Below are 6,675 nucleotides of genomic sequence, written 5' to 3' on the forward strand. Positions count from 1 at the left end.
TTATGGACGTGACCAGCCATCTCTGACGTAAGTTGAGAGTTTTTTAATTTTTGTGACAGAGTCTTGCTGTGTCACCCAGGCTTGAGTGCAGTGGCATGATCTCGGCTCACTGCAACCTCTGCTTCCCAGGTTCAAGTGATTCTCATACCTCAGCCTCCTGAATAGCTGGTCTTACAGGTGTGTACCACCACACCTGGCTAATCTTTGTATTTTTAATAGAGACAGGCTTTCACAACGTTGGGCAGGCTGGTCTCGAACTCCTGACCTCAAGTGATCCACTCACCTTGGCCTCCCAAAGTGCTGGGATTACAGGTGTCAGCCACTCCACCCAGCCTAGGCCAAGAGTTTTGCCATAAATATTATAATAGTAGCTAACAGTTATATACATGCTAAGTATCCATCAGGCACCTTTCAAAGTGTTTTGCATGTATTAACTCATTTAACCCAATGGGGATATGTAGTCACTTCCTATTGCTGCTGTAACAAATTAACCACAAACTTAGTGGCTTCAAGCAACACAAAGTTATTCTTCTACAGTTCTGGAGGTCAGACATCTAAAATCAGTGTTTCTTTCCTTCTGGAGACTCAGGAAAATCCATTTCCTTGCCTTCTTCAGCTTCTACAGGTCACCTGCACTCCTTGGCTTGTGGGCCTTTCCTCTTATCACCACGACCACTTGCTTCCATCCTCACATCTCCTATCACTACTCTGACCTCTTGCCTCCCTCTTATAAGGATCATTGGATTTCATGGAGCCCACCCAAATAATCCAGGATAATACCCCCAACTCAAAATGTTTAGTTTAATCACTTCTGCAAAGTCCTTTTTGCCACGTAAGGTAACATTCAAAGATTCTAGAGATTAGGACTCAGACATCTATTATTCTCCCTACCACAGATGGGTACTATATCATCCCCTTTTACAGACAATGAAACTCAAAATAGAGAAGCTAAATAGCATGCCCAGGATCACACAGCTGGTAAGTGGCAGATCCATGGTTTAAACCCATACAATATGGTCCTAGAATCTGTTCATGTAACCATGATACTCTTCTATCCTGGCAGAATTCTGGCTTTCTGATGACATTGGAGTTGCCTGACCAGCCCTGGAGAGAGAAATACACCTTTTTTTTTTTTTTTTTTGAGACCAAGTCTCATTCTGTCGCCCAGCTGGAGTGCAGTGGCATGATCTCGGCTCACTGCACCTCCGTTCCCTGGGTTCAAGCGATTCTCCTGCTTCAGCCTCCCGAGTAGCTGGGCTTACAGGCACAAACCACCACGCCCAGCTAATTTTTGTATTTTTAGTAGAAATTTTTTTAGTGGAAAACTTTAGTAGAATTTTTTTATTTTTGTACTTTTAGTTTCACCATGTTGACACCAGGCTGGTCTCAAACTCCTGACTTCAAGTGATCCACCCGCCTTGGCCTCCCAGAGTGCTGGGATTACAGGTGTGAGACACCTCGCCCAGCCAAGAAAAACACTTTCAACTTTCAAAGCCACTGTCATTTGGTGGGGCTCTTTGTTACAGTCACTATATTCAAATAAGGAGTCAATAGTAATCCACAGAAATAAAAATAATGCTTTTCATTTATTCTGAATGGTTTGAATATTTTACAAGGAAAATGTGTTATTAATTTCAAATCTGCTTAAGTTGCAGGACAAAACTGCCGACCTGTCTGTGTCGCACCTGGGTTAAACCCTCCCATCATCTTTGGGATAGATTGAGTTCAAGCACCTCAGCCTGCCCTGGAGGCCAGCGTTTCACCCATCTTTTTGTTTCTCATTGCTCCTCTTCATGGGTACACTCTCAGGCCAAACTAGTATTTGTGGCATACTAGCTTGCAGCAGGCCTTTCACCATGTCCACCCCATGCCTGTGCTCATGCTGTCCCCTCTACCCGGAATACTGCCCCTTCTTCCTCTCCCACTCCTGCCTAGCATGTCTCATTCAAAGGCTAGCTGTGAGCTCCTGTTCACCCCTCAATACCTAGCCCAAATTGCCTCTGGAAATTTTTTCTGTTTATCTTGGTCTTTCTCTGCCCTGCTAAATATTTTCCTTAAATGTCTGGTGATCCAGGTTATAGTTTGAAACCCCAGCTCCCCACCTTTCCCACCACACACACACACACACACACACACACACACACACACACACACTTCCCAGGAAGAACAGGCCCCTCCTCTTTCCTTCCCCCACTTGTGTGTCCCTGTGTCAAAATAATCATACCAGCACACATTTACTATGGCCATTGTTTATTACTAATATTATTTATTATTTTAGGGTTTAGATCTTTTGCAGCCCCCAGCACCAATACATGGCTAAAAACAATACCAAATGCCACTTAAGTGTCACGATGTCTGACAAATGATGACCACTTGGACTTCTTAAAATGTTAAATTATTTTTAAATATGTGCATGTGTATGATTATGTCTGTCTGTGCCAGGACCCTTAATTTAGCCACATCTGCAAAGCCCCTTTTGCCATGGAACATAGCCACATGTTCTGGGGGTTAGGACGTGGACATCTTTGGGGGCCATTTTAGCCTATCACAGAGATGAAGGAAGTGACCAGCCCAAGATCACCCAGTAGTAAGCAGCAGAGTGGCAGTCTAATCCCTGTCTTCCTGACCCCAAAGCCTGGCTCCTGACCTCTCCTCAACACCAGGGGCGGGGTGGGGGCAGGTGGGAGGAGATGTGTTTTCTGTGGTTTCTGTGCCTTGTTGTTGGTGCTGTCCCATTCTGCCCCCACCCTGCCTCCACAGGCTCCATCCTGATGCATTTCACACCACCCCTATCCACTCGTCTCCATGAGGGTCTCCCTAGCCTAACCAGGAGAGTCTCCGTCTCTGCAGCCTACCCAGCCTCCGAGTTTGTTTGTTGAGTGAGTATACGGGTAAGTGGACAGACAGAAGGCTGCCAGCTCCAGCCCCTTCTTCCTGGCTCCTGCCACTGGCTTGAAGATGCTCTCTAGGCCAGGAGTGGTGGCTCACACCTGTAATCCCAGCACTTTGGGAGGCCAAAGCAGGAGAATCACTTGAGCCCAGGAAGTGGAGGTTGCAGTGAGTCATGATCGTGCCATTGCACTCCAGCTTGGGCAACAGAGCAAGACTGTCTCAAAAAACAAAACCAAAGAGGAAAATGATCTCAGCTTTGGGAGTCACAGAGAATGCCTGACTCTGGGTCCTGTGCTCCTCCTCTCCTAGCGGCTGCCTGTCTCCTTCAAGCCACCCAGACCCTGAAGGAGGGGGCCCATCCAGAGGAGAAGAGGCACAAAGGCTGAGGACCTGGATATGGGGAACAGGAGGTCTCTGGGTCCCTCCCTGGGCATGAGCTCCCAGAGGCCACTGCTGTTGGCCCAAAGACAAAAACACCACAGCCGCTCAGTGGCCTCCTAGGCTCCGCCCTCAGAATCCCCCTTTCCAAAAGCACAGCCCATCTCTGCTGGCCTCCCCTCACCCACCCCACACCTCGGCCTGCTGCCTGATCTCTGCTCTTCTACAAAGCACCTCTGCCTTCCCCAGAGTTTTCCTATCCACGTGCCCAGGTCTGTAGCGGCATTAGCAAGAGGAAACCCAATTACATTCCAATTACTCTAGTCCTAGCCAGACAGAGGTTACTGTAAGTCACAGCAGGATCGGGAAGGAGGAGGAGGTAGCACCTGGGGCCAGTGCCTAGGGTGACACTTGAAGATGGATATGACAGGGACCTGTGGCTCAGAGGCTCAGGATTAGATCAACAAGGCTGGGGCTGGCTGGTTTCGGGAAAGAGGTCGTGGGGGCCCCTGTTGACAGACAGCTCAAGCACAGCAAAGCCCTGAGGCCAGCCCTCCCTGGGCAGAGGAGGCACAAGGGCTGGGAGCCCAGCCTGGACATGGAGGACCTGAGGTCCCTAGGGCCCTCCCTTGGACATGGGCATTTGGCCAGGGTTCCCAGAGCCAGTGCTGTTGTGCCCGAGGACCAAAATCCTGCAGCTTCTTGTAGGTCTTCTAGAACACTACTGGTTCCCACCGCCCCGCCCCCAGGATTTTCTCTGAGCATACACCCACTCTCTCTCATGCCCATCTAGGCCAAATAACTGGCCTCTCCCACCCTTAGGCTGTGGCTAAATAGGCCAGATTCAGGACCAGAGGGGCTGCGAGGCCTAGTGCCTCCAGGCCAGCGCCCTGGCTCCTGCTGCTGGCTTGAAAATCCCTGGCCAGCGTCTGATAGGGGAGACAGGGAGATCTGTTGCTTGTGATGGCAGGAATCTCTTAGGATATCCCTTGACCTGGGGAGCAGCCATCTTTGGGGCACCAACGGATAAAGGGTGGGGGAAGGTTGGCAATTGAGATCCCTCTTAAGTGGAGATGGGACTGACTCTGTGACATTGTATACTGGGGGGAATTCTCAGCCATGATTTCCTCCCTACACAGACATGCACCACCCTGTATCATGACATGGGGGAGCCTGGCGAGCCCCTTGCCCACTCCAACCCATGGTATCTGGGAGGCCCTGTAATATGGAGATCTGCACTCTGGGCTAGGTTCTAAGCCTGGGCTGTGCTGGGCTTGGCCAGTGCCTACCGCCCACACAGACAAACATGGATCTGTACCTTCCACACTGCGGGCTGAACCTTGTTTGCCGCAACTGTTATTGGAGTGTCCCCACACGATCTGCCTCCCATCCCCCTACATGCTGCAGCCCCCTCTGCAGCCCCTACATAGCAAACAATCACAGCTCCAGGTAGGGGGGAGAATGTGGGGGGATAAGATGAGTCATTGCCGTGGGAACAGATGTACCAAGTTCCACATATGCACACTCACAGAACCTTACACACAAAGGCATGGCCACACTCACATTCCCACACTCACAGGGAAACACGCTGGGAGGCCAGTGCTAGTCAAAGCCACAGTTGAACATTCAGATCCACACTGAGAAACAGTCATCTCCTCACACATACACATTCCCCATAGACACAAACGCCAAAACACAGGGACAGATCAAGACCCAGACAGACACATCCCACCCAGAGTGACCTCCAGTCATCAACCCAGAGCCCACCCCCTGCTCATATGCACAGTCAGACTCAAACACACTGGATTCCCTAGACACACACCACAGCCCTTACTTGAATTCAAGACTCAAACACAAACACACACTCATGCACACATATGCAGACATGCACACACCCACACATTCACACATGCACACACGCACACACACACACACACACACAGCAGCCCCTCTTCTGAGTCCCTTCACTCATTCTCCTACCTCGGCCAGCACCTAGGGAAGACAAGACATCACACACCATGCAGATGCCATACCTGCCCAAGGACAAAGTTCTGCCTTGGGTTTAGCTTCAGTCCATCCTCCTGTTCTGCAGAGGTTAAGGTCACTGGCCCCCTCCCTTATGCTGCTCCAGTTCCTCTCCCACACCTCCTATGCCTAACGGCGCATCTTCAGAGCCTTTGAAAAGGGCTTTGGCTGCAATGGGAAAGATGGTGGTTGCATCCCAGGAGTCACCTCCCAGGAGGGAAACAGTGTGAGTTTCAGAGGGTGACATGTTAGGAATGTCCTATGCTGAGCTAGGGGATGGCCAAGGTGACTGCATGATGCTCAGGCAGTCACCCTTCACCTACCTGTGATTTCCAGAATCCCCAACCTTCAAACCTTTGCACCTGCTGTTTCCTGACCTTGAATGCCTCTCCTCGAATACCACAATCCCCCTTGCAGGCTACCTTCTTATTCTTCAGGTCTCCATGGAGATGTCCCTGCTCCAGGAAGCCTGTTCTCATGCCCTGGCTGAGTCGGTCTGTCCTCCTGTGCCCCACAGCCCCCAGGGCCCTCACACCCTCCTCACACCACAGGTTAATTGCCTGGGTGTGCACCTGCCTCCCCCACCAGCCAGAGAGATTTTGCAGGGGAGGGAGACTGTGTCTGGTGAGAGAGGCTAGAGGCCTGAGAGGGGCAGAGGCTCAAAGCCCAGCTCTGCCTCTGCTGTGCGACCTTGGGCAAGTCATTGCGCCATGTGGATCCAGTGTCCTTATCTGTAAAATGGGGACAATAACGACCACCTCACCAGGTTGATATGAAGATTAAATGAGAGCAGGCATCATATGCATTATCCAAACGGTAGCTGTATTATTAGAACTCACTGCCTAGCACACAGCTTAATAAATCGTTATTTGTGGAATTAACGAACCCCCACTTCTGTCCCCACCGGCGTCCTTGATTTTTGGGGGGAACAGTAGGTATAACAAAAAGAGAAACTGGGGGCAGATAGGATGGGGGGCTGGGAGATGGGAGAACAGGCTTCTCTGGCATCGTTGGGAGCTAGCTGTTACAGCAGCATCCGGAGCTAGGCTGGAGGCGGTGCAGGCATCCTCTCTGTCTCACCCCTGTGACCCACCTGTGCCATCCTCCTCCTCAGTTAGGTGAGGCAGCAAGGAGAGGCGGGGCTGGGCTCCACCTCTGCACTGTGGCCCTCTGAAGCTGCCAGGCCCGCCGGCACACACTAAGTGCGCCCAGAATGCGGGGTGGCCAGGGGCATAAATGTTGAATGAATGAGGATGGAATGAATGAACGGATGGACGCATGAATGGAGGTGGGATGGAAGCTTGAAGTGGGAGGCTAGAAGGAACGAGCGTCTCCCTCCGCCCTGCGGGTCTCGGGGCTGGAAGACAGGGAGCCAAGACC

At 51.1% G+C, this 6,675-nt stretch overlaps 1 annotated feature.

Annotated features, from left to right (window-relative positions):
- Positions 3,664 to 4,450: an enhancer, noted in NCBI's record as "H3K4me1 hESC enhancer chr1:32080194-32080980 (GRCh37/hg19 assembly coordinates)". NCBI's record gives its function as "activates a minimal SCP1, AML or CMV promoter by ChIP-STARR-seq in primed H9 embryonic stem cells {active_cell/tissue: H9 hESC(primed)}" and the evidence as "EXISTENCE:reporter gene assay evidence [ECO:0000049][PMID:30033119]".

This window comes from Homo sapiens, chromosome 1, assembly GCF_000001405.40.
Source record: "Homo sapiens chromosome 1, GRCh38.p14 Primary Assembly".
Taxonomy (NCBI): Eukaryota; Metazoa; Chordata; class Mammalia; order Primates; family Hominidae; genus Homo; species Homo sapiens.